General features: G+C 53.2%; 2 long non-coding RNA genes across 3 annotated transcripts in view, besides 1 other annotated feature; both read left to right on the top strand.

Annotated features, from left to right (window-relative positions):
• The first annotated feature begins 4,449 nt into the window (after positions 1-4,449).
• LOC107987177 (uncharacterized) lies at positions 4,450-5,764 on the top strand. Its single transcript, XR_001749181.1, has 2 exons — positions 4,450-4,569; positions 4,689-5,764. It is a non-coding gene; the product is annotated as an uncharacterized LOC107987177 (long non-coding RNA).
• A 9,408-nt stretch (positions 5,765-15,172) lies between these two features.
• The window catches only part of LOC105370082 (uncharacterized), a 37,563-nt gene continuing 28,381 nt past the window's right edge, over positions 15,173-24,354 (top strand). Inside the window, exons 1-2 of one of the 2 annotated variants that reach the window (XR_945559.3) lie at positions 15,173-15,790; positions 16,450-16,559. This is a non-coding gene — a long non-coding RNA (uncharacterized LOC105370082). Of the gene's footprint in view, positions 15,953-16,449; positions 16,560-24,354 lie in introns of both variants that reach the window. The other variant, XR_945558.3, reaches the window with a different exon arrangement.
• Positions 15,651-16,151: an enhancer, noted in NCBI's record as "H3K4me1 hESC enhancer chr12:131746328-131746828 (GRCh37/hg19 assembly coordinates)". NCBI's record gives its function as "activates a minimal SCP1, AML or CMV promoter by ChIP-STARR-seq in naive H9 embryonic stem cells {active_cell/tissue: H9 hESC(naive)}" and the evidence as "EXISTENCE:reporter gene assay evidence [ECO:0000049][PMID:30033119]".

Genomic DNA, 24,354 nt, shown 5'->3' with positions numbered 1-24,354 from the left:
AGGAACCACAGGCCTGGAGTCCTCTGGGCTCCAGCTGCTGCCTCCCTCACGGGCCTCCCCCATCTCCCCCCTGCAGCCGTGGGGCAGAGCAAACCCCCTGGGCCCACTCAAATCAGGTGCCAGGCGACCATTTGGGCAGCTCAGATGGGAACCATTAGAGGTGAAAGGAGGCTCTGCCAAATGTTGTTTGTCTTTTGCATGCTAATCAGCTGTAATTGTTAGATCCACATTTATAATGCAAGCAGAGAAGAGAGTTCTCACCCTGAAGCCTGGAGTCTGCTGCTCCCCAAGGCAGAGCGCCCACTGGGGCTGGGGTTCAGGAAGCCAGTGCTTTGCTATTCCAACTGCAGGGTGTGCTCTGAGGCAGGAGGCCTGCTTTGCGTTCTGGAAACCTCTGAGCTTTTCTACAAAGGAGCTCAATTCCTTTTTCCTGATGTCCCAACTCCTCCTCCTCCTGCAGCTGAAGCTGGAAGTTACAGCAGCAGAGCACAGGCAACAAGCCCTGCGTGACTCAGGACTGGTGTCCCGAGTCCTGGGCTGAGCCGGAGATGACCCCACAGCACAGCAGAGGCTACACTGGTGTCCCGAGTCCCCGGGCTGGACTGGAGGTGACCCCAGAGCAGAGCAGAGGCTACACTGGTGTCCCGAGTCCCGGGCTAGGCTGGAGGTGACCCCACAGCAGAGCAGAGACAACACTGGTGTCCCGAGTCCTGGGCTAGGCTGGAGGTGACCCCACAGCAGAGCAGAGACAACACTGGTGTCCCGAGTCCTGGGCTAGGCTGGAGGTGACCCCACAGCAGAGCAGAGACAACACTGGTGTCCCGAGTCCTGGGCTAGGCTGGAGGTGACCCCGCAGCAGAGCTGGGACAACACTGGTGTCCCAAGTCCCCGGGCTGAGCCAGAGGTGACCCCACAGCAGAGCAGAGGCTACACTGGTGTCCCGAGTCCCAGGCTAGGCTGGAGGTGACCCCGCAGGAGAGCAGAGGCTACACTGGTGTCCTGAGTCCCCAGGCTGAGCTGGAGGTGACCCCACAGCACAGCAGAGACGACACTGGTGTCCTGAGTCCCCAGGCTGAGCTGGAGGTGACCCCACAGCACAGCAGAGACGACACTGGTGTCCTGGAGGTGACCTGCACAGCAGGATGCTGAGGCCCTGGGGAGTCCATGCCCACACTCAGGGCTGTGTCTCCAGTGCCGCTCACCAGGTGATGGGTGCAGGTGCGAGCAAGGATGACACAGCTTCCGCCCTACGGTGGGCCCTGAGTTCATGGGGTGTGGGCAGTGCTAAGGACAGGAGCTGTGGGAACAGAGGCAGCCTCCTGACCACGGATGCTGGCCCTAACTCCCTTCCCCTTGGAAAAGGAGAATATCTTGGGCCCCAAAATCACTCAGGAAAAGTCAAGCTAGGAACTGCTCGGGCAAACCTGCCCCATTCTATTCAAAGCCACTCCTCGGCTCCCTGAGATAGATGCATATCTGATCTGCCTCCTTTGGAAAGGCTAATCAGAAACTCCAAAGAATGTAACCATTTGTGTCTAATCTACCTGTGACCTGGAAGCCCCCTCCCCACTTCGAGTCTTCCCGCCTTTGCTTCCAGTTGTGCCGTCTTTCCAGAAGGAAACAATATACTTCTTACCCATATTGATTAATGTCTCATGTCTCCCTAAAATGTGTAAAACCAACCTGTGCCCGACCACTTTGGGCACATGTCATCAGGACTTCCTGAGGCTGGGTCCTGGGCGCGTCCTCAACCTTGGCAAAATAAACTTTCTAAATTAACTGAGACCTGCTTCAGATTTTCTAGGTTCACACCCCAGACACGGGCAGGTCCCTTCCCATGGGCAGAGGATGCAGCCAAAGGGAGAGCAGAGAGCCCACCAGCCTCCCTCCCAGGGCCCCAGACCAGATCTGCCCCACCTGCCAGCCTTTGGGCTCAGACCCCTGAGGGCAGCTCATGGGGTCCCCAGCTGGGGTCCTCAAGGCCAGGCTGTGGGAAAGAGCTGTAAGCCCTAGCCATGGGCGCTGAAGTTCTGTCCTGGAGAAAGGGGATTTGTTCTCAGCCTCTGGAGAAGAGCACCGCCTTCCCGTTGGTAGAGGCCATCACAGCAGGCTCTCGCCTGGGGTCTGTGTGGACAACTGGGTCTCACTTCACTGTGTTGATTCATGGGCGAGGCTCCTAGAGACAGAGAATCTCAGCTTAGTGAAGACAGAAGTGAGGAGAGCCTCACCAATCACAGCCAAGCCACTGAGGCAGACACAGCCACGCCACGCTGGAGGCCTGGAGGCTGGAGGCTGGGTGGCTGCTTCAGTTTCCTGAGGGAAGAAATTTGGTCTGAAATCGGTTCACAGTCAGGAAGAGTCCTGGACTGAGGTCTGAAGATCTAGGGTTCATTTCTGTCTCCAAAATCTAAACCTAGAATAGAGAACTCAAGTTCAAATAGCCCAGCGACCCTACGTGGATGGCATGTGGCATTTTCATGTCGTTGGTGGGCCACCTGCACCCTGGCATGGTCACAGTGAGGAGACAGATCCTTAGAACCAGGTTAGCAGGTGCCGGAGCAGCTGTAGAAAGAATGGGTGTTGGCTGAGATTCCTCTCGGAAGCTCCTATCAGATCAGCGTTGCTTCAGGATCCTCCCTCAGGAATTGGAACAAAAACCCCTCTGAGGCTGGGACCCACGGCCGACAGTGAGTTGGGGAGCTGGGGTTCTCTGCTCCTCTAGTATCAGATGTTTGCACTCTTCTTCCTCTGGCTGTGGCACGCGACCACTGGGCCAAGCCTCTGTGTGAGTTTCTTTCATCTCCACGCGGTTTCTGCTGTGACCTTTTTCCCCAGCACTGACTTTACAGGAAGTCCGCTTAAATGGGGCCAGCATTTCTGCGTTCAATAATTCAATGCTTGCGCTCACCGCCAGGCCGGTTAATTTAGTAACAGTGGGGAGCACAGGCTGCCTTCCACCCGTAGATCATGTTCCATCATGTTCCGCTTTGACTTCCAGAGCACACGGGTGGGTGAGGACACTGTCCTTCCCAGCGACGGCTGTGACTTTTACGTGGCCATTTAATGCTCCCAGTTAATGTGATGGTGAGAGGAAAATGACCTGTGCTGATAGCAGTCCTGGCTGCCTAAAGGTTCCCAGCATTTTCCTGGTAAAACGCTAGTGCCACTAATACACAGGTGTGTGCAAACAGTGTGCACATCTGTAATACAGTGGACACACAGACCATATTTCAAAAGCTCTCTGGCAGGGATTTGAAATTAAGTGACAAGACATCCCTGTCAAGGACAGGATGAAGCAATGTTCCATGGTTGCTAAGATGCCAAGTTATTTGGACAACAATTTTCCCTTGTCCTAAAGAGCTACTGTTGATTCCAAGGGACGCATCCTCCTTGTAATGACCCAGGTGACAAACTGCTCCTGGGCTCACACTCTTCCGTGCCAGCCCCAGATATCTTCCCAGCTCAGTCCCAGGGAGGAGGTATTGAGGTGTGGCCCTGGTGTGGCCGGGGACATGTTCCCCAGGGGTGGCTTGCAGACCACCTGCCTTCGAAACAGCTTGGCAGGGGGAGGGGAGGGCTTCAGGTGCACATGTTTGTTCATCCCTGTCCAGAGCCGAACGCTGAGGTGGAGGCTGCCTTTCCCAGGGGTGCCCGTGTCCGCCGCTTTGGGAACCTCTGATGCAGGGCAGGCGGCCAGGGTTGGGACCCAACGGGACTCGGGTCTGCCCTGTCCCTGCAGAGTCTTCCCCGTGATGGTGCATTTTTCCCTGGGCTCTGCCCTTGTTACTGTGAGTGGCTGTCAGGAGCGGCTTCATCTCTGGGAGCTCTGCAGATTCAGGCAGCTCTGAGTCCATTTCTAGGGGGGAATGGGAGTGGCGTTGGGCAGAGAGGAGGCGTTGGGAACCCGGGGCAAGGGTGACCCCAGGCCACATGCCCAGGTGTGCAGAGGGGGGCTTTCTGCGTCTGGGAGTCCGTGCGACCTGGGATGAGTCTCCCTCCCTGCAGGGGTGGAAAAGCTTCCCTTTCTCCAGTCCCAATCTCCAACTGTGGCTTCCCTTGACAAACGCAACAGAAAATATTAGTGGCATCTGTGGGCCGCAGCCCGTGTTCTGTTTCCAAGGTCAGAGACCAGGACTAAGAGGCAGCACGTGGAGAACATCCAGAAGCGTCCATCAGTCAGAGTCGCCCTGCCCAGCCCACCCTCCATCCCGGGGGCCAGGGCATAGGGGGTGGGCATGGTGTGATGTGGGGGTGGGTGTGGGTGTGATATGGAGGGTGGGTGTGGAGTGATATGGAGGGTGGATGTGGTGTGATATGGAGGATGGGTGTGGTGTGATAAGAGGTGTGGGTGTGGTGTGATATGGAGGGTGGGTGTGGGTTTGATATGAATCTCCACCTGGGAAGAGCCAGGGCCCGTCAGGTCTCCCCACCTTTGTACCCAGCACAGAGTCATGGGATAAGGCCCTTCTCTCTGGCCTCCTCTCCAACCTGCAGTTCCCTGTCCATCTTGGCCAAGTTCATCTGATTTGCAGATGGGGAGCCTGCCTGGCACGAATCCTATGGTCCCTGGTAAGCACTGTGAACCCGAATACTCGGCTGCATTTTTCGACAGCACCTGTGTTCCCCCAAGGAAAACCCACTTTCCCCTCTCTCTCTGTCTCCTTCTCTCTTTCTCCCTCTCTCCCCAGCTTCCTTTGGGAAATCAAGAGCAAAGCTCCCTCCCAACTCATGGTGTTCCCCGAGCAGAATAGAGGCCGGCTGTGTGCGTTGAAGAAATGAATGAAGTGATTGGGAGCTGAGTGCCGGCGGAGACCGGCCCCCCTGGGCATATGTGAAAACCTGAGGACCCCACTGAACTTTCAAAATCCAAAGAAGAGAATCCTGAGGAAAGATCTGTATCATTTGCTGGGGTGTAAGATGTGCAAGGATATTAACAATTTAACAAACACGTATCAAAGGGAGGTATAAGTACGATTTTCCATGATAATTTTCTATTGGAAGCATGAATGATACATAGACATATATTTTCTTGATCTGGTTTAGTAAAGTATTATTAATATTAGATAACCAAATTCCTACTGTAACCCAGAGGGCTAAATTGTATGAACAATGTTGTCTGATGTCCTGGTTGCCAGGCACTGTGGACAGCCACCCCTACATCCTCCCCACCTCTTCTTCCTGGCCCTCTCCAGGCAGATGGGATGGAAACTCAGAACTTGACTGACATTCCCAGCCTCCTTTGAAGTTCTGAACCACCTCAGGGCTCCTCACCAGAATCAGCTCTCGGGAGCCAGGCTTCTCTAACTCAGAGCCAGTGCAGGCTTCAGGCCCCACATCTCCTGCTCGGCCTCCTCTGGCCTCGGTTGATGAGATGGAAGCTCCCTCCCCTGCCTCCCTGCGCCCAGGCTCACAAACCTGTCACTGGATGTCTTTATTTAGTGAGCTTTCCTGCCCAAGCCTGCTTCCAGGGCAGGATGTATTGATACAAAATCCATCAGGAGGTGTGTCTGGGCATTTAATCAATGAGGCTGCAGGGAGCCCCGCGTGACTCAGAGGGTGCCGGGAGTGAAGGCCAGGCGAGGAGAGCATCCAGAGTGGGCAGAAGGGTGGTTTTTATTTTTGATCCTGTAATGTCAGGCTCCAGCAATTAGTTGTCTATTCCCTGTAATGCTGGCACTGCAGCAGAATTCCACCGCAACCTGGATATTTGCCCAGGTACTCATTTTATAACTCCCATGTTCATTCAATAAATACCCTACCTGTATCCTATGTGCCAGACACAGATCCAGATGCTGAGAAGAGTCAACTAACAGCTCACAGGTCACACTGAGCTTGTGCTCCCTAATGGAATGATGGTGATGATGGTGTTGGTGATGATGATGGTCATGATGGTGATGGTGATGGTTGTGATGGGGATGGTGATGATTGTCATGATGGTAATGATGGTGATGATGATGGGATGATGATGGTGATAATGATGGTAATGAGAGTGATGGTGATGGGATGATGGTGATGATGGTGATGGTGTTGGTGATGGTGATGAGATAATGGTAATGGTGATGGGATGATGGCAGTGCTGCTGATGGTGATGATGATGATGGTGATATGATGATGATGATGGTGATATGATGATGATGATGGTGATGTGATGATGATGATGGTGATGTGGTGATATGGTGGTGATGGTAATGGTGATGGCAGTGATGGTGATAATTAAGGTGATGGTGATGGTGACGATGATAATGGTGGTGATGGTGGTGATGGTGATGATGGTGATAATGGTGATCATGACAGTGTCAGCAGAGGAAGCAGGCACAGTAGTAGCAATCTGAGTAAACATTACACAGCCCTTAATATGCAACAGATGCTATTCTGGGCACCTCCCATATGTCAGGTCACTCAACTGACACGACATCACCTGAGGTAAGTGCTCATGATCTCCATTTGATAAATGAGAAACTGAGGCACAGAGAAGTTAGGTCACCTTCCTAAAAGCACACAGGATGTGCTAGTGCTGGGATTCAGAGCAAGCGCCTCGTCCCATAAGCAGTGGACTCAGAAACAACACCATAAACTAATAGGCAAATACTTTTAGACAGTGACAAGTATCATGAAGACCATCAAGATGGTGATGTGAGTGTGACTTGGTGTGAGGAGGCTGCATTCAATGAGAGGTCAAGGAAGGCCTCTCTGAGTAGACACTCACTGGGGAGGGGAAGCATGAGGGTTGTGAGCAGTGTTCAGACAGGTGTCACAGCAATGCAAAGGCCCTGGGGTGGAGTGAGCTTGGAGCATTCAAGGAACAGCAAGATGGCCAGAGAGGCTGAAGCAAAATAAACAGAGGGGGAGATGGAGCCTGGGCCATGGGGGCCTCACAGTCCATGGGACATGGTGTGGGTTTATTGTGAGTGGGTGGAAGCCCCCGGAGCCCCTGCAGGGAATCACCTCAGTCACTCCATGATGCCTGAGTGTGTGGTGCTGATTCTGGGCTATGGGGCAGGTTGGGGCCTCTGCTGTGTCCTGGGGACAATGGGAGGAATCTGCTCCCAGCAATTATAAACACATCACGAGCAAGACGGCAAGAACCCTCTCTGAGGTAATCATGTTTGGGAAAGGCCCTCCTAACACACCGCATTTCCAGGAGCTAGAATGTCTTGACCTGGCCTAGGACACCACTGTGCAAATCAAGGGACGTGTGTTCATTTGAGTGGATTGCAGCAGCCAGGGTGGGGCCCAGCGTTGGGAATTAGATCCAGGTTGTGCTTCTGTGAGAAGTTCTGTCTCTATACAAGTCAACAGCACCATGGGAGCTCTGGTCACTTCCCAGGTCATCAGGAGACTTTGGGGTGAATTTATAAGTAGAGGCAGCTGAGCCCTTATGAAGTTATCCTAGACATCTTGGAGGCCTGAGTGGGCCACATCTCTGCAGGCAGGACCACCAGGCAGGGGGTGGGCAGCTTTGTTGTCAGGGGCAAGGCTGCAATTAAACATCTCATTGCCCTGGCTCCCGCTCCGGGACTGCCTGCAGGAAAACCAATGATCAGAAATGCAGCTGGTGGGGTGCCCAGACTCCTCAGGGCCCTGCCTTCATCTGATGATGCTGCTGAGCTTTGCACATGAACTGTGCCATCCCAGGAGGCTGTGCTCTCATGAGGAGGTGTGTGACTGTCTTAATGAGATGTCCCTGGCACTGAGCCAACCTAATCTCAGATCCTCAGGGTGAGTTCTCTGAGCTCTGACTGCCATCATCCCCCATGACAGCCTGGCTGAGTCCCAGGGGATGGGTGCTCTGATGCTGAGATCATGTATGGGGCTGTGTGCGTGGAAGTGAGGTAGGAGGTGAGGGCTCCACTCTGGAGGAGATTGAAGACTGGGTGAAACAGAGAAAAGGCCACAGCGCCTCTCCATAAGACACGGCCACTAGTGCCATGACAGTTTACCATTGCCACGACAACACTGTGAACTTACCTCACCTTTCCATGGCAGCAACCCCAAGACCTGGAAGTTACCACCTTTTTCCTGAAATTTCTGTGTAATCCATTCCTTAATTTGCATGTAATTAAGAGGGGGTATGTATAGATATATATGATTGCAGAGCCGCCCCACCGCTCCCCTCAGCTCACTGCCCTGGGCTGAGCCCCACTTTTGGGGCTCTCCTGCCCTGCTTCAGAAGGGGACACCCCAGCATGCACCAGCCCACACCCCGCCTCCTCCGTCCTCTTCCCCACTCACTGGCCTCATTGGGGAATGCTTGGAATTATTCCAGGACAGCTTTGTCCTTTGCCCAGTGCTGTGTCCCCAGGTAAACAGTGGGTACCTGCAGAGAGAGGTCCTCATGGGGACAGAGCCTGCAGTGCCACAGGGCCCATGCCACCTCCCTCCTGGGTACACTTAGAGCCCATTCCCAGCCTCCCTGTGTCAGGTGGGGTCAGGTGACCAAGCTCTGCCCAGAGGGCAGCACTTCCAGGCAGGCCTATGGAGAAGGCCCTGCAATTCTCGCATTTTCTCTTCCTTATGAGCCAGTTAGACAGAGAGGACCCCAGGGGCTCAGAGGACAGTGGAGGGAGTCAACGCAGGAGCCCGGGCCCTGATTGACCGTGGGGGGAGGGGTGATCCTGTGCCCCACTTTGGAATGTCCCGAATGAACTTTCGACTCATACTGGTTGAAGTCCCTGCAGGAGTGGGGTCTGCTGTCAGGGTCTGTCGCCCACCCTGACCAAACAGCCATGAGTCCAGACTCAGTTCCTCTCACTCTGGTCTGAATGTATCAGCTCCCCTGTTCCAGTGGACATGCTCCGGGGGATTCCAATATGGGGACAAAGGAGAGAAGACTGGCCTCCTTGCAGGAGAAAGGCCCGAAGTTAATTCCGGCTGGAATGACCCGTGTCCTCTTTCCTCCTAACTTGAGGATCTCACCCCGCAGTGCACAGGAATTAACTTCGTTTGTGGACACTTGGTTTGATCCTGCCAAACGTCTGTTCTCCATCCCTTTGAGACAGTTCTTACCTTTCCCTTCCCCCACCTTGCCTCCGTCACCTGTGATTTGAAGGAGGCTGATCCATCCTCCACCCCAGCTCCTGTAGCCCAGGCCTGGCCAGCAGCAGCCTTGGCCCTGGACTCAGTGATGGGTTAGAGATGGTCTCACGGCCCCTGCCAGGCCAGGAGGCTGAATTCCAGAACTTTGTGGGAACTGGCAGAAGCAGGGAGCTCTCTCTCCACTGCAGTTGGGAGGCTGGTGGGGTGTCAGCCTGGGATGGCTGAGAGCATGGTACAGAGAAAACTCTGTGAGTAAAGGCAACAGATGAAAGCAAGTTAAAGCTGGAGAGAGCCTGAGAGAGGATGGAAACGACTGCCCTTGAGGTCTGGACAGAGGCTCCCGTTACACGAAAGGGCGCATGAGTTTTATTTGTTTTTTCACCTAAGCCAGCTTCAGTTGGGTTTGTCACTTGCCACAAAAAGGACACTGACAAATGTAGTTTAAGAAGAGAAGCTGGAAGCAGCAAATGCTTCGCAAAACCCAGGAACATTTGCCCTTTCACTTGCTGGATTCCATGCTGTCGCTGGAGCGGGAGCCTCTCCAGTCCTGCCCAGCTGAGTCATCACTGCTGACGCCAGTGGAGGATCTGGCAGGAGCCCTCTGCTCCTCATTTGGGCGCCCTCAGGGACGCACGCCCAGGGGTGTTCTGGGAAATTTAGCAGGGAAGGTAAGGTTGACTTTTTTTTCTTCTTTTAGTATCTTCCTAATGGACCTGTTTATCTCTGCTGTTCATTTGCCACTTCTTTTCTGCAAAGGTAAACTCTCATTCACAGACTCGTTAACCATGCTTGCTATTCTGGGCTTACTCCGTGGGGGTGTCCTGGAGTTCAGGATCATTCACAGGGGTCAGGGGTGCATCAGGGCTAAATGGGGCTATTGACATTAGTTTCCAGGGAGGCTGAAAGACACCCATTGTGACCACCCAGCACTCCAGGAAAAGACTGAGCCCAAAATTCTATCACAAGGGATGGGAGCTGACTGATAGCTGGTCATCTGCGGCCTGTCCTGCAAATGTGGGGTCCACGCGTCCTATCTCCCCACACTGAGTATGGGGCAGATGCAATGCTGTGGGGGCTGCCACCCTGTTACATCACAGTCAAGCATGTGTTCTGAGCTCAGCAGAGAAGGGGCCTGGGTCCAAGCTCAGGCAGGGAGAGCCTGTCTCTCATGGGAGGTGGTTGGCTGGGTGGGGGCTCAGTGTAAAGGTAGACAGACATGTTGGTCCTTAGGATATGATCCTGAACAGAGTGGAGGAGCTGAATCATCTTGTCTCTGGGCCTCCATTGCTCTCCCTGTAAATTACAGGCCCTGGAAAAATCATCTATGCATTCAGCAAATGTCTAGCAGCATCATGCTGGGTACCAGCGTAAAAATGACTCTTTGTTCCCATCTGCATGGATTTTATAGTCTAGGCAGGAAATCCTACATTTAACAAATAATCATAGAAACAAATAAGTCATTACAACTTGTGATAAGTTCTGGGAAGAAAAGAAGACAGGTCGCTCGAGATCATATCAAATGAAGGATGCGATGGAGAAGTGGTGGATGCCCATCCCAGACCTGGAAGTGTGAGCTGAGACCTACAGGGCGAGTAGAAACAAGTCAAGCAAAGAACGGAGGGAGAGAGGCTGTCTCCAGTCACAGGAAGGGTGTGTGCAGAGGCCCCGAAGCTGGAGAAAGCCACGGGGCGGGAGAGGAGAGAGGTGAAAAGACGTTTTCAGAAAAAGGCAGGAAGCTGACCATGAGGAGCTTCTGAGCAGAAGGACACTTGTATGGGGGTGCCGGGGACCTCCCCACTAGCACGTGTGGACAAGGGATAAATAGAAAGAGCAGGCCCTATGGTCTCAGAACTGTCATAAATTGCACTGGAAGTAACTGAGCGCATGCCAGTGTGCGAGAGTGTAATTGGCCTTGAGAACTATGTTTCAACAGCACTGCGGGCTCCACCCCCATCACCCTGCTCAGAAGGCATGGCTGCTCCCAGAGAGAGCCATGACCACCCTTCATGCCCCCTCATAAAGGTCCCTGTGTCCACCTCTCAGGGCAGCCTGGGGCGGCAGGACCCTTGCAGGGTCTGGTCAGCTGGTGAGACTGCCATCCTTCCTTGGGCCTGCTGTCCACGAGGCCTGCAGGCAGCTGAGCGACCCCATCCCTCCATCGGCAGGGACAGCCTGGTCAGGAGCGGTGGGAGCTGGGACCCTTCACTGGGGTCTTGTGCTCCCATGTGACCCCTCCCTCCCCCAGGGGGCCTCAAAGGGGACAGAGGCAACATCACAGCTTGACTGTGTTTTCAAGAAGGTGGGAGGATGTGCTGGCGGCTGGAAGATGAGGGTTTTCTTGAACACAGGCCTGGGATGGGAAGCTCGGGTCTCAGGGGTCATAGTGGCTGCTCTCTGAGCTCCAGGTCCCAGCCCATCTCCTTTCCCTCCTGCTGGCTGCCAGCTCCAGTTTTCACGGGTGTCTGAGTCTGTGCACTTGAGGTGACCATAGGACCCTCAAGGTCGCTTTGCTCTTCTCCTCCACCCGCTTTATGGAGGAAGAGGTCTTGCAGCTGTGGCCCACACTGATCAGTGTAACTTTCACAAACATTTCAACAGAAGACTTTTAAAAGACACAGAGGCGGTTCCCAGGCATCTTCAAAAGATGTTGCCCACATTGTTTTTTCTTATTGCAATGATTCACTGTAGAATGCCTGAAAACAGATATAATTATAGAGGAAATAAAAATTATAACTCCTGCACACACGTATATATGTAAAAGAGAAGATACTACCATAGACATAATGATAATACCAACTTTTTTCTTTTAAAATTACTTTTAATAGTGGTAAAATACACATAACATACAATTCACCATCTTAACATTTTTTAAAACCTTTTAATTGAGGAATGATTAACATACAAAAAGCTGTCCATATTTAATGTGTGGAACTGGATGGGTCTGGAGATGAGTGTACGCTCACGAAACCACTGCCACCACTGATGCCATAAACACACGAAACCACCGCCACGGCCGATGCCATAAACACACAAAACCACCGCCACCACCGATGCCATAAACACACAAAATCACCGCCACCGCCGATGCCATAAACACACAAAACCACCGCCACGGCCGATGCCATAAAAACCCTCTAAAAAGTTCCTCCCACCCTGTGTGTTTATTGTTTTTTTTCTGAGAGTGATAAGAACATTTTACATAAGATCTACCCTCTTAGCACACAACATGACTTGGAGACGAGGCTCCACGCCTGCAGCAGACCTCGGGGCGTATTCGTCTTGTGAGATGGTTTGGATCCATGTCTCTGCCCAAACCTCATGTTGAGCTGTAACCCCAGTGTTGGAAGTGGGGCCTGGGGTGGTGGTGTTTGGGTCAGCGGGGTGGACGTCTTATGGCTTGATGCTGTCTTTGTGATGGTGAGTGAGTTATTGAAAGATCGGGTCTTTTAAAAGCGTGTGGCACTCCCCACCGCCCCCGCTGGCTCCGGTTCTCCCTGTGTGATGTGCCTGCAGCGGCTTCACCTTCTGCCATGAGTAAAAGCTCCTTGAGGCCTCCCCAGAAGCAGAAGCTGCCGTGCTTCCTGTACAGCCTGCAGAACCAGGAGCCAATTCAACCCCTTTTCTTTGAAGTTACCCAGTCTCAGGTGTTTCTTTTAAGCAACGCAAGAAGGGACCAATACATATTGTATGAGCGAAACATGATGCCCTTGAACTCACAGCTCTCCCTCCCACTCCCCCAGCCCCTGGCACCCCCATGCTCCTCTCTGCTTCCACGAGCCTATTTCACATGCCTCATATAAGGGCATTGTGTGACATTGTCCTTCCGTGGCTGGCTCATTTCACCCAGCACAGCATCCTCCACGTTCATCCACGCTGTCTTAAATGGCAGGGCTTCCTTGCTTTTAGGCTGAATAATGCTCTGTTGTGTTGACATTCCACATTTCCAATATCCACTCACCGTCAGTGCCCGCTGGCCTCTCCCGCCTCTTGGCTGTTGTGGTTGTTGCCGTGTCCTCCCGCTGGGCGAGCCCATGCTGGGCGCACGGCCAGCATGCAGGTGGGGGAAGGAGCTGCATGGCCTGGTGGTTCCTCCCGTCCACTCACCCTGCTCTACTGGGTGCCTGTGCTCAGCCCACAGCATCCCAGCTTCAATGTAGACTCAGAAGCTACATCTGAGGCAGTGATGTGGAGTGAGATGCTTAGGGGACATCAAGGGGGCCAGGCAGTGGGGATGAGGAATGGCTCTTCCAGGGATTCCCAGCTGCCCGGCAGTGATGCTTCCCCATCAGTGCCCTCCTGTCCTTGTCCCAGCTCTCCAGGGACCACTGAGTCTGCGCTTGTTCTGCCCCACACCACCCCCAGCTCAGAGCCTGAAGGGTAGAGGGCAGCGCCACCTTCCTAAAGCACTGGGGGGCAGAGGGCCGGATATCAACGTGAGGGTTTGCAGCCCCTGTGACTACCAGCAAAAATCACTTCTCTCAAAGTCACCTGCACACTCCTGGCTACTCACTGCACAGCTCCTTGAGGGGCCTCCAGCCCTCTCCACTACCCCGACACACAGAGGATACACAGGGGTGAGCTGGATGCATTGATGAACTTGGAATGTCGTGGTCCCCAGAGGAGGCTCACAAGGTGCCCAGCAGCAGCTGAAGCAGAGCCTTGAGAAAGGGGCACGCCTGTTCTGACATCACCCCCTCCCTGCTGCAGGGAGAGGTGGCACACTCTCCCACCCACACCGCCTGGGCTCACTGTGTTAGGGTAAGGTGCTGGCAGGGATCATAAGGTTTGATTTCCAGAAGTCATGGGGGCTGGAGACGACCCAGGTCTGGGTCAACTTGGGAGAAATGGGAGGGAGACCTAGGGTTGCCAGATTAGGAAATAAAAAAGGAACGATGTGCAGATAGACGTCCATTTCTGCTAAAATATGCGTGTGTGCAAGGACATAGATATCTATGTATACACAGGTTTGCATTAGCGGTGGCAGTGGGGACCTTTCTATGACATCCGGGTGACATAGGCTGCCTTTACTTTGTGGGTGTCCTCGCCACAGCTGGGCCCCTGGGTGCTTTGCAAGGGACCATCCCCTCTCACGAGCCATCCTACTCCCCAAAGCACCTCCCTGCCCCTCCCGAGTGGCCCGCGTTCATAGGCACTCAGATTTTTTTTCAAGAGGAGCTCATGGTTGCTTATTTCTAATGTTCTATTTTGCTTGGAAAAGTTTGAGCCAGTCTGAATTTTCCTGTAAATTCAGGAAATTGATTAGTCCTGAAAAATGACTTGTTTTTTTTTTGTTGTTGTTATTGTTGTCTGAGACTGCTTCTCTTTGAAGTTTAGTGAAATGAGAAAGTAGCCTGGGGTTGATAAATCTGTATTGATTTTACCCGGAATACCTTACATCTTTTGATTTCAACCCTTCTTAGATTTCAGGAAAGCTCTCTTAATTGTATCTCTGGAATCTTCTCCATTTCACTTTTCTCTTCTCTGCAGAAACAAACTATGCAAACGCCTTACCTCTTTGTGCTTTCTTTTTTTTTTTTTTCTTTTTTTTTTTTTTTTTTGAGAGACAGAGTCTCGTTCTGTCACCCAGGCTGGAGTGCAGTGGCGTGATCTCGACTCACTGCAACCTCTGCCTCCTGGGTTCAAGCAATTCTCCTGCCTCAGCCTCCCAAGTATCTGGGATTACAGGCATGTGCCACCACACTTGGCTAATTTTTGTATTTTTAGTAGAGATGGGGTTTCGCTATGTTGGCCAGGCTGGTCTCGAACTCCTGACCTCAGGTGATCTGCCCGCCTTGGCCTCCCAAAGTGCTGAGATCACAGGCGTGAGCCACCGCGCCTGGCCCTGTTTGTGCTTTCATATGAATTGTTTTCTCTTTAATTCTTCTTGAAATTATTTCTGTTCCATTTATTTTGCAAATGTATCCTGCTTGTTGCTGCTGTTTTCAGCCATGCCCTTTCTCCTTCTTTCTGTGATGATGCCTCCATTTCTGTGATGTCTGACTTTTTTCCTTCCTCCTCTTTCTTGAGCGCCGCCACCTCGGTTTTCTTCACCTCTTGTTGTCTTCTGAGGTCTTCCTCGAGCCTGTGCCTCTGCCACAAGTTCCTGATCCACGGAGGCCACAGGTAACATCCGGTTGTTTGAACCCGTGGAGAACTGCGGGGCACGGTTCTCCTCTGCTTCTCAGCCACGCCGTCCCGCCATGCGTTCTTCACCCACATTTGTCGGTTGCTGCCTCCCTCCCTCCAGCTGTCAGCTGTCCCTCTCTCTTCCTTCTTCTCCCTTCCTCCCTCTCCATGTGTACGGCTTGGACCTTAACCCTCTTTTTCTCTCAAAGACCTGAAATGTGGGGGTCCTAGAGGGCCCCTCTTCAGAGCCACACTTACAGCCAGCCAGTTGCAAAGAGGGCAGGTAGATTCCACACCATCTTCCACAGCCCGCTGCCTGCCACTCTCTGCAGCTCAAATTTCAGGGGCTCCTGCAGCTGAGACATGGACCCTACTTTACGCCAAGCAGAGGGCCGTGGGGTTCCCTCGTGTGACTGTGAGGTTTGCTGGAGACTGCGAGCCTGCCAGTGTGGCCTCTGCCCTGCCTGGTGCCCATCCTGTCTCCGATCCACCTGCACGCCGCATCCTGGATCCTCATCTCCCGCACCCATGGATTTCAGCATCCAGTGTTTCTTGGCGTTCCCTCTCACAGGCCCAGTTCCTCATGGACGTGAGACCTTCCCACCCAGCGTCTCCCCGAACACGGCCGGTAGTGTTCAGCCTTTCACCACTCCTTCTCTGCCACTCGACTTCTTGCCAGCTGGTGTCCAGTTACATTTTGGCAAAGGTGGTCACCGGGCAGACCTGGAGAGAGGGAAGACATGGAAGCCCTCTCTGCCCTCTGCAGTGGCATCGTGAGACGTGGTCTCTGGTGGGCCTGCTGGGTGCATTGTTGGGTGTCAGTGGCCAAAACAGGCCCCGTGGATGGGCGGGGGGCGGTGGGGAAGGACCTGGCCACTGCTCCTTTCCTCATTCCAGAGCAGGCTGCGGCCAGGTCCCTGGGTGAAGGGGCCTTCAGATTGCAGATCTGAACAGAAGGGCTGGTGGATGATGTTTGAAGCCACGGATAATATGCCTGGAAAAGACAAAGGGCCAGGGCAGGGCCTGAATTAGGACTAAGGCAGGGCCTGAATTAGGGCCAGGGCTGAGCCTGAATTAGGGCCAGGGCCGAGCCTGAATTAGGGCCAGGGCTGAGCCTGAATTGCCGAAGAGAAGAGGGGAAATCATGAAAGGAAACGGAGGAGGACCGAACCTGGGGCCGGGGGAATATCCACCTCCATTTCGGGTCTCAGGAAGGGCAAGCCAGAGTCCTTTCTTGGAGGAGTGGTAGGTTGCAGCAACTCAGGCCTAATCCTGCTTTGTACCTAGAATAACAGAAGATCTTCTTCAGAAACCTCAAGCTCCGATGATGCCTTCAGACCCATGAAGATGGAGTGTGAAATTCCATGAATATCGAGTCTATTTTCTGGACCCCAGAGGTGAGCATGGGCTGACAGAGAATGCATCATTCACACATCTCCCAGGACTGTGAGGGTGGGAGATGCACGCGTGTGCCCTCTGATCCCCTGGTGCCCTCACCATGAGGTGTTTTTATGGTTCTGGAAAGCTGTGCGTCTTCCTCTCTGTCGGGCTCATTCTGAAGCACAGTCCCAGCATCCATATGGCAGATGCAGCATCCACGTGGCAGATGCTTCCTGGACACTCTTAACAGCATCCACATGGCAGACGCTTCCTGGACACTCTTAACAGTCACAGGACACTTGGGCTAGTCAGGACACAGAGGACACAGCAGGCTGCAGCTGCAGAGCTTGAAAAGATTTATTTTAAAAGCCCAAGGGGATAAATACAGCATCTCTCACATTACTCCATACTTAAAAATATTTGGATTAATTATATTAAAAATTTGCATTCAAAAGCGTTTATGTAAATAGGAGTTAAAAATTGCAGAGTGGGTAGGCAGAGAGTGTCTCCCCTCAAGCATCTCCAGGGGAGCAGAGCCTCTGAGCTCCACCTGGTCTGGCTGGCACTGCTCGGCTGGCACTCTGATGAGTGATGAGTGTTGAACTGGTGAGTGTCGGACTGGCTGGGTCGAGGGCCCATGCCCCCTGTGAAGCAAAACTTGAGGTAGACCTCACCCCCAATCCCTGGCCTGAGACCGTGGGTGCTTGTCTGAGGAAGGCCAAGAGGCTGTCTTTAGAGGTGGGGTCCGATGCCTGCCACGTGGACTCTTCTCAGATGGTGACCATGCTGGGTCCGCTCGTGTCTCTGTCCCGTCTCCTGTGCTGCTGACTTTGTGCAGAAACCGTAGTTCCTGGGCCCAGACCCTGAGAAGCCATCCTCATGCCCCTCCCAGCCCCAGCACATCTGCCCAGCCTTCACCAGACTCATTCTCCTCCTGCCAGGGAGGCGGCGCCAGCCCACTATTCCTCTTGGACAGGGTGCCTGTCTTACCATGTGGAGATGCCAGGACCAATGAGATAAAGTAGGGGCACAGATTCCCAGAGAACGAAGGTGCCTGAGACACAGCAGTGTGACGCGGGGCAGGGGCTCCACTGGTCAGAGGGGTGCACGGCTTCTGCCTAGACACAGGCAGGTCTTGGATGAAGGGGGCGGAAGACCCAGGCAGGAGTTGGCGGGCAGGTCTGTTCTGCTGGTCACCACCACTCAGCACTCATTCACTTACCTGTGCGCCCATTCATTCCCTCACTCTCCCATGCATGCATTTATTCGTTGATTCAGTCATTCTCCCGCATGTGAATTCACTCACTCATTCATCTGTGCATGCATGCATTCATTCACTCACCCATGCAGGCATTCCCTCCCTCACTCACACACCCGTGCACCCATTCACTCACTGACTGACTAACCCGTGCACCCATTCACTCACTCACTCATTCACTCACTCACGCATGCACCCATTCACTCACTCACTCACCCATGCACCCATTCACTCACTCACTCACCCATACACCCATTCACTCACTCACTCACCCATGCACCCATTCACTCACTCACTCACCCATGCACCCATTCACTCACTCCCTCACCCACCCATGCACCCACTCAGTCACTCACTCACCCACCCATGTACCCATTCACTCACTCACTCACCCACTCATGCACCCATTCACTCACTCACTCACCCATACACCCATTCACTCACTCACTCACCCATGCACCCATTCACTCACTCACTCACCCATGCACCCATTCACTCACTCCCTCACCCACCCATGCACCCACTCAGTCACTCACTCACCCACCCATGTACCCATTCACTCACTCACTCACCCACTCATGCACCCATTCACTCACTCACCCACCCATGCACCCATTCACTCACTCATTCACCCACCCATGCACCCATTCAGTCACTCACTCACCCATCCATGTACCCATTCACTCACTTACTCACCCACTCATGCACCCATTCACTCACTCACCCACCCATGCACCCATTCACTCACTCACTCACTCACTCACCCACTCATGCACCCACCCATTCACTCACTCACCCATGCACCCGTGCACCCTTTCACTCACTCACCCATGAACCCATTCACTCACTCACTCATGCACCCATTCACTCACTCACTCACCCACCCATGCACCCATTCACTCACTCACTCACCCACTCATGCACCCACCCATGCACCCATGCACCCATTCACTCACTCACCCATGCACCCATTCACTCACTCACTCATGCACCCATTCACTCACTCACTCACTCACCCATGCACCCGCGCACCCATTCACTCACTCACCCATGCACCCATTCACTCACTCACTCATGCACCCATTCAGTCACTCACTCACTCACCCACCCATGTGCCCATTCACTCATTCACCAATGTGCCCATTCACTCACCCACTCATGTGCCCATTCACTCACTCACTCACCCACACGTACATTCATTTATTTACTCACCCATGCATCATTTATTCACTCACTCACTCACCTGCGCATGCATTTCTTCATTCACTCAATCAACAAACATTCACTGAGTTTTGGTCATCTTTCAAGCACGTGGTAGGTACTGAGGACACAGAAATGAACAAAACAAGCAGGTTTTCTTGCTTTCCTGGATAATGCGTTCTAGAGGGGAGGGATGGGCAATGAATGAATGAATAAGTAAATGGAGAAGGGCATAAAGGGTTCCCAAGTCACCCTGCTCCTCCCACTGGGATGAAGTAATCCGTCTCCCTCCTTCCGCTTTCCGACTCCCCATCTCATCATCCCCTGCACAAACCGTCCCCAGATGGAGACAGATGGTGTCCCTCCCACAGTGGGACACTTCTGTTCTCTCTCAGTGCTTGGAATAAAATTCCCATCAAGGCCAAGGAGGCCTCTGCCCATGAGCTCCACCCCCCCGCCCGAGCTCCACCCCCCCGCCCAGCTCCCCAGGTCACCACCTGCAGCCTCACAGGGGCTTCTGCCCATGAGCTGCCCCCCTACCCCGCCCAGCTCCCCAGGTCACCACCTGCAGCCTCACAGGGGCTTCTGCCCATGAGCTGCCCCCCCCCCCACCAGCTCCCCAGGTCACCACCTGCAGCCTCACTGGGGCTTCTTCCATTCCTGAATGAGCGCAGGGGCCTCTGCGCTCGCTGCTTCCTGTCTGGACTGTTCTTCCCTGGATTTCTGCGTGTTCCCCCCTCCTTGTTCAGGTCTCTTCTCAAAGACCACTCCCCAGCGAACTCTTCACTCTGTCTCCTCCTCTGTGTCATTGTAACCAGCCACCTCCTGGGGCTGACCGTCAGGTGCAGAACCTTAGAGCTCACCCAGCACAAATACTGCAGCTGGGGAAACTGAGGCCTGGAAAGGGGTTAGAGTGGGTCCAGTGGGGATGAGGACAGGAACTCCAGTTTCCTGGTTGTCCACCCAGCACTCTTTTCTCTAAGCTGCCAGACTCTTGAAAAAGAGGGTCCAGGGTTCTAATGCAATAGGAGCCATCCTGTCTCTATCACACGGAGAGGCATTTTCTTGAGATCTCACTCAATGTGGCTTTTGGGTCCGAGTCATGCACCGCTCCAAACTGCCCCTGACTGCTGCCAGCTTCTCAGAGGTGCTCAGAGCTGTGCAGTCTCTGCAGGACCCTTTTTCAGGAACAAGAACTGTCCAAGGAAGAGCAGCTCTGAGAAGCCCTAGGTCTTGTCTTCTCTCAGAAAAGAGCCTGGGTTTTATGAACATCCAGGTCTGCTCCCCATTCCTTGTGGTCGCCTAGCAAGGATTCTTCCCTGAGATCACCCAGAGATTCTGACGGGGGAACAATAATGGGGTCGCCTGTTTCTTTAAAAGAATTTGTTTTGAGAGAGAGTCTCACTCTGCTGCCCAGGCTGGAGTGCAGTGACCTGATCATGGCTCATGGTAGCCTCACCCTCCCTCGGCTCAGGTCATCCTCCTGCCTCAGCCTCTCAAGTAGCTGGGACTACAGGCGTGCACCACCATGCCCAGCTAATTTATTTCGTATTTTTTGTAGAGATGGGGTTTTGCCATTGTTGCCCAGGCTGGTCTCAAATTCCTGGGCTCAAGCAATCTGCCCACCTTGGTCTCCTAAAGTGCTGGGATTGCAGGCATGAGCCACTGCACCTAGAACAGTTGCCTGTTCTTTTGGGTGAGTTTTCCACCCAGGAACACTAAGTGGAAGTTAAGCTGCAGGAACTTCTCTGCTTCGTGACTTTTGTTCATCATGCATCTGTGTTTGTGACCGCGGCTGGCTTCCCCTTAGCTCAGTCCCTGAAAAACAATGGCAGCAGCGTTTAGCCCGTTATTCGTGGGACACCTGCTTGGGGGTGGGTGTGTTCCTGCTGCTTAAAGCTCAGTTGGTTTTCACCACTGGATTCCAAAGGCCCAGATGAAAATCAACTGAAAATACAGATGGTCCTGCACTTGTGATGGATTAACTTGTGATGCTTTGGCTTCACATTGTGTTTCCCGGGGTGTAACCCCCATCATAAGTCAAGGAGTGTCTGAAAATGGTGCATCCAAAGATGGCTTTCCGTTGGCTCTAGATGCTCTGAGGCCTCTCTAGGTGGGGTCCATGGACTGACAGTTTGATGTCACTTGGTGCTTGCTGGAAGTTCGGACTCCAGGCCTCACACCGGAGCTACCTGATCAGAACCTCAGAACCTGCACTTTAACTGACCCCAGGCGCTTATGCAGCTTGAGAAGCTGCTGTGAAGAGCAAGTGGGATTTATCCCAGGATGCAAGGATGGTTCAAGTGCTCATACCTGCTGTGCCTTGGTGTCTCCCAGGAAACCTGTGCACCTCCAGACTCTGGGTTCACTGAGGCAGGCGGGGAATAGTTAAAGCTCCCCAGAGATCCTAACATGCGGCAGAGCTTAAGAATCACTGATTGGGGAAAACCAGAATGGAAAGCAAGAGGACCCGTCATCCGGCATTGAGTGGCCTTTGTCTCTAACCCTCGAGGGCTGCCCATTGTCATATGATCCAACATGGCTGTTTCCCCCCAAAGGACAACAGGCAGGGCTTGGGAGGGACCCAAAGAGAGAACCTGGCTAGGACTGTCCATGCTAAGGGACATGCTGTTCAAAGATGTCTTAGGATCCTTGGAGCCCCTAACAAACCATTTTTGCTAGCAAAGCTTTTTCCTGTAAAAAGCCAGTTCTGGCCGGGCGCGGTGGCTCACGCCTGTAATCCCAGCACTTTGGGAGGCCGAGGCGGGTGGATCACGAGGTCAGGAGATCGAGACCATCCTGGCTAACAAGGTGAAACCCCGTCTCTACTAAAAATACAAAAAATTAGCCGGGCGCGGTGGCGGGCGCCTGTAGTCCCAGCTACTCGGGAGGCTGAGGCAGGAGAATGGCGTGAACCCGGGAAGCGGAGCTTGCAGTGAGCCGAGATCGCGCCACTGCAGTCCGCAGTCCGGCCTGGGCGACAGAGCGAGACTCCGTCTCAAAAAAAAAAAAAAAAAAAAAAAAAAGCCAGTTCTGTGTGACCTCCTACTGAGGCCTGCTTGAACACCCTGTTGTGACGTGGTGTCAGACTCTCACGCCCTTTGCAAAACAGGACTCCAGCCAGCTCACTGGTCTCTGGTCTCACCTGGAGTGGACATAGTAACCTGACTCCCCCCAGTAAGCCATCCTGCTGTGGAGGTCCAGGGGTGGGTGGATTGATGAGGGTAATGCCAGCTACTGGAACAGATGCAGCCATGTAGATGGCTCAGCAGGCAAGCAGCCATGTGTCCTGGCTTAGCAAAGCCCAGCATGTGAGCTCCTGATGGGGATGTCTCCCCTCCAAGGGCGACTTAGGGCCCCTGTCACTACCTTCTTGTAACTCCGCTGGTTCCAGTGTTTGGGCTCCAAGGTCCCATGGCCACCTGGGTCAGGTAGGTGGAAGGTAAAGAGCAGGGAAGAGGCTCCAGGGAGGTTTCTTTGGGTCTGCCCAGTAGGATGGCTTCACTTCTGCTCCCTTCCCTTGACCTTGATCTCGTCTCTCGACTTCACATAACACCAAGGGGCCCAGCGTGTGGTGTGGCGATGTATCCAGGAAGATGAGAATGCAGGTTTGGCCACAGCAGGCAGAACTTGCCCCCAGGTGTCCACGAAAATGGAGATGGGGCAGGTGAACTCTGTTGTTCTCTCAAGAAGGGGTCGGGGGCCAAGTGCAGTGGTGCCCGCCTGTCATTGCAACAATTTAGGAGGCTGAGGCGGGTGAATCACTTGAGCCCAGGAGTATGACACTAGCCTGGGCAACTTGGCGAAATCCCATTTCTACAAAAGATACAAAAAGAAGTCCCAGCTACTTGGGAGGCTGAGGTGGGAAGAGTGCTTGAGCTTAGGAGGTGGAGGGTGCAATAAGCTGAGATCATGCCCCTGCACTCCTGCCTAGGCTACAGAGAGAGACCTTGTGTAAAATAAATATATATATTTATATGTATATATAGATACAGATATAGATATAGATATAGATACAGACATAGATATAGATATAAAATAAGGGAAGACATGGAGGCCGAGCTCTAGTTAATGGGTCCCTGGGTCCCTGTTCTGGACACAGTGCTGAGGGCTGCCTGCTCAATACAGCACCATTACTCTCCCTTTACTCTTGGATCCAAGACCAGGGATCTGGATCAAGGTTGCCATTCCGCCAAGCTGAGGGCTCCCCTGGGAACCTTTGCAGCAAATGTAGGTTTGAGCCTTGAGGCTCAGAGGCCAACTCCTCAGACTGTAGTGGAGGCAGAAGCTCAGTCACCTCCCAGAGCACTGCAGAGGCCTGCACCTGGTGAGTGGGGGAGGACCCCCAGCCAGGATATCACTGTGGGGGCACATGCCTGGTGTGTTAGGGAATGTCAAGGCTAACTGAGCATGTAGAGTCAGGAGGAAGGGCAAGAGGTGGGCACAGAGAGACGGCAGGGCTTTTGTCAAGACTCCAGGTTCCACCTGGAGTGAGGCAGGAGTCCCTGCAGGTTCTGGGTGGAGAGTGAGAGCTTCTAACTCCTCATTATAGAGTTCCTTCTGCTCTTGTGCAGGCAGTGGGTAGGTGGAGGCTGATGAAATAACCCAGAGGTGGGGTGAATGTGGTTAGATCTGGGGGTTGAAATTCAGGTGGAGGAAAGAGGACAGACACATTGAATGAGACAGAGCCCGCAGGATGCTGACAGGTGGGAGTGGGGAAAAGAGGGCCGGGAGGCTTTGACGGTTTGCACCAGGCAGGCAGGAGGATGCTAAAGGCCTTACCAAGATGGGAAGATGGTGGGGAGCAGGTTGGGAGGGTGGACTGATCTGCCAAGGTGTGTTACATCCGCTGAGCAAGTCCCATGTGTGGGGCACGGTGAGGACCTTACCATGTCAACTCATTTAATCCTCACGATGGCCCATCAATTAGGGTATATCCATCCGGTCTCACACTGCCATAAAGATGCTACCTGAGACTGGGTAATTTATAAAGGAAAGAGGTTAAATTTACTCACAGTTCCACATAGAGGTGGAGGCCTCAGGAAACTTATAATCATAGCAGAAGGGGAAGAGGAAGCAAGGCACATCTTACATGGCGGCAGGAGAGAGAGAGCGAGTAGGGGGAAGTGCCAAACACTTATCAAACAACCAGCGAGAACTCACTCACTCTCATGAGAACAGCATGGGGAAAACTGCCCTCATGATCCAATCACCATCCTCCCTCATCAAATGGGGATTACAGGTCCCTTCCTTGACACATGAGGATTACAATTTGAGATGAGATTTGGGTAGGGGGGACACAGAGCCAAACCATATCATAAGGCTTGCCATTTCACCCTTTTACAGACAAGAAA

This window comes from Homo sapiens, chromosome 12 (genome assembly GCF_000001405.40).
Source record: "Homo sapiens chromosome 12, GRCh38.p14 Primary Assembly".
Lineage (NCBI taxonomy): Eukaryota > Metazoa > Chordata > Mammalia > Primates > Hominidae > Homo > Homo sapiens.
The sequence above is the reverse complement of the archived record's forward strand: the minus strand, read 5'-3'. Positions and strand labels throughout refer to the sequence as shown.